The sequence below is a fragment of the Homo sapiens genome, chromosome X, assembly GCF_000001405.40.
Source record: "Homo sapiens chromosome X, GRCh38.p14 Primary Assembly".
NCBI lineage: Eukaryota > Metazoa > Chordata > Mammalia > Primates > Hominidae > Homo > Homo sapiens.
In genome coordinates, this window is record NC_000023.11 from 99748743 (window position 1) to 99751684 (window position 2942).

A 2942-nucleotide genomic window follows, 5' to 3' on the forward strand; every position below is an offset into this window, starting at 1 on the left:
GCTTGTACAAGTTTTCTCCTTTGGATTTCTGTATTTTCAAATGTTTATAATACTTTTCAGGTTCAAAATAGTTTTATGCAATGGTTTGCTTTACATACACCTACACACAAATACATATCCATGCACATAAGATTCTTCTCACCATTATCTACCTTCAGCATGGACCAGACATAAAAACATTGAAAACAACATCCTGTAGCATCACTTAGGCTGTAGGGCTGCCAGATGCGGTGGCACATGCCTGTAATGCCAGGACATTGGGACACCAAGGTGAGAGGATCACTTGAGCCTCATACATATGGAGGTCAAGATAAGCCTGGGCAACATAGTGAGACACCATCTCTACAAAAAAATAATTTTAAAAATCAGCTGGGTGATATAGTTTGAATATTTGTCCCTGCCCAAATCTCATGTTGAAATGTAATCCCCAGAGTTGGAGATGGAGCCTAGCAAGAGGTATTTTGATCATGGGGGTGGATATCTCATGAATGGCTTGGGCCATCCTCTTGATGATAAGTGAGCTCTTGCTCTGAGTTTATACAAGAACTGGTCATTTAAAAGTGTGTGGCACCTCCCTCTCCACTTTCTTGCTTCTGTTCTGGCCATGTGATATGCTTGCTTCCCACATGCCTTCCACCATAATTGTAAGCTTCCTGACGCCTCCCCAGATTCCAAGCCAATGCCAGCACGATGTTTCCTATAAAGCCTGCAGAACCTTAAGCCAATTTATCCTCTTTTCTTTATAAATTACCCAGTCACAGGTATTCCTTTTAATATGGTTTGGCTGTGTCCCCACCCAAATCTCAACTTGAATTGTACCTCCGAAAATTACCACATGTTGGATGAGGGACCCAAGGGGACATAATTGCATCATGGGGGCTGGCCTTTCCTGTGCTATTCTTGTGATAGTGAATTAAGTCTCACAAGATCTCATGGGTTTATCAGGGGCTTCTGCTTTTGCTTTTTCCTCATTTTTCTCTTGCCACTGCCATGTAAGAAGTGCCTTTCGCCCCCCGCCATGATTCTGAGTGTCACGCACGTCTGTGTGAAGAGACCACCAAACAGGCTTTGTGTGAGCAATAAAGCTTTTTAATCACCTGGGTGCAGGCGGGCTGAGTCTGAAAAGAGAGTCAGTGAAGGGAGATAGGGGTGGGGCCATTTTATAGGATTTGGGTAGGTATTGGAAAACTACAGTCAAAGGAGGTTATTCTCTGGCAGGCAGGGGCGAGGGTCACAAGGTGCTCAGTGGGGAAGCTTCTGAGCCAGGAGAAGGAATTTCACAAGGTAATGTCATCAGTTAAGGCAGGAACCAGCCATTTTCCCTTCTTTTGTGATTCTTCAGTTACTTCAGGCCATCTGGATGTATACATGCAGGCTTGGGCTCAGAGGCCTGACACTGAGGCCTCCCCAGCCATGTGGAACTATAAGTCCAGTTAAACCTCTTTTTCTTCCCAGTCTTGTGTATGTCTTTATCGCAGTGTGAAAATGGACTAATACACCTTTACAGCAGTGCAAGAACAGCCTAATATAGAAAATTGGTACTGAGGAGTAGGGAATTGCAGTAAAGGTACCTGATGATGTGAAGGCAACTTTGGAACTGGGTAATGAGCAGAGGTTGGTGGACTCAGAAGAACACAGGAAGATGAAGTTAAGTTCAGAACTTCTTAGAGACTGGTTCAATGGTAGTGACCAAAATGCTGATAGTGATATCAACAGTGAAGTCCAGGCTGCCAAGCTCTCAGATGGAAATGAGTAACTTATTGGGAATTGGAGCAAAGCTCACATGTGTTATAGCTGCATTCTGTTCATGCCCTAGGGATCTGTGGAAGTTTGAACTCCATAGTAATAATTTAGGGTATCTGGCAGAAAAAATTTCTAAGCAGCAAAGTGTTCAAGATATGGCTTGCCTGCTTTTAAGAATCTATGCTCAGATGCAAGAGCAAAGGAATGACTTAAACTTTGAACTTATATTTAAAAGGGAAGCAGAGTATAAAAGTTTGGAGAATTTGCAGTCCGGCCATGTGGCAGAATAAGAGAAAAACTTTTTTGAAGAGGAATTAAAGCAAGCTCCCCAGCAACCACTTGCCAGATATATTTGTGTAACTAAAAGGGAGCCAAGTACTAATATCCAAGACAATGGGAAAGACCTCAAGGCATTTTAGAGACTGTTGAGACAGCCCCTCCCATTACAGGACCAGAGGCCTAGGAGGGAAATAAGGTTTCATGGGCCAGGCCCAGGGCCTAACTGTCCTGTGCAGCCTTGGGACACTGCTTACCACATCCCAGCTGCTCTGGCTCCAGCCTCAGATCAAAGGGCCTCAGATACTGCTCATGGTCCCTGAATTTATAAGTCCATGAATTAAAAATATTCTGTGGGAAATGAGGGTTGCAGATCCCAATCCATGGCCTCTACTTTGCATCTGATTGAATACATGAAATCTCAAAAAATGTAATCTGTTTCCTCAGGGAGTTCTCTGACTAGATTTGTGATCATCTTCAAGTCCTATGTGGTTAACAGTCACCAAGATATATTATTTGTGGACCCTACAAGGTTAATCCATGGATCAACTGACAAAATTGGGAGAAGAGAGCCCATCTATTTCCTAGATAGCAAATGTGTGGATGCTTTGAACCATACTCACTTTGAGGTAGCCACAATTCAATTATCTTCTAAAGCCTAAAACTCTGTGTCTTTCATAAGTACTATCTTACCGTATGATGAACAGAAAACACCAACATTTTAAATCACAAATATTTATTAATGCCTTCCATGTGTGTAAAATATGGTAAAAGGCAATGCAATCCATATAATAAGTTTTGCCTTAGAAGTCACACTTCAAGAATGTGTTCCATAATAACCTGCGAATCTTTTAAGCTTTTTCTATTATCCTTGTTGATGTCAGATAGATGTACTAGATCAAGTAACGTTAAAGGCTTCAGAG

At 42.2% G+C, this 2942-nt stretch overlaps 1 annotated feature.

The window, feature by feature from the left end:
• Positions 933–1434: an enhancer, noted in NCBI's record as "NANOG hESC enhancer chrX:99004673-99005174 (GRCh37/hg19 assembly coordinates)". NCBI's record gives its function as "activates a minimal SCP1, AML or CMV promoter by ChIP-STARR-seq in naive H9 embryonic stem cells {active_cell/tissue: H9 hESC(naive)}" and the evidence as "EXISTENCE:reporter gene assay evidence [ECO:0000049][PMID:30033119]".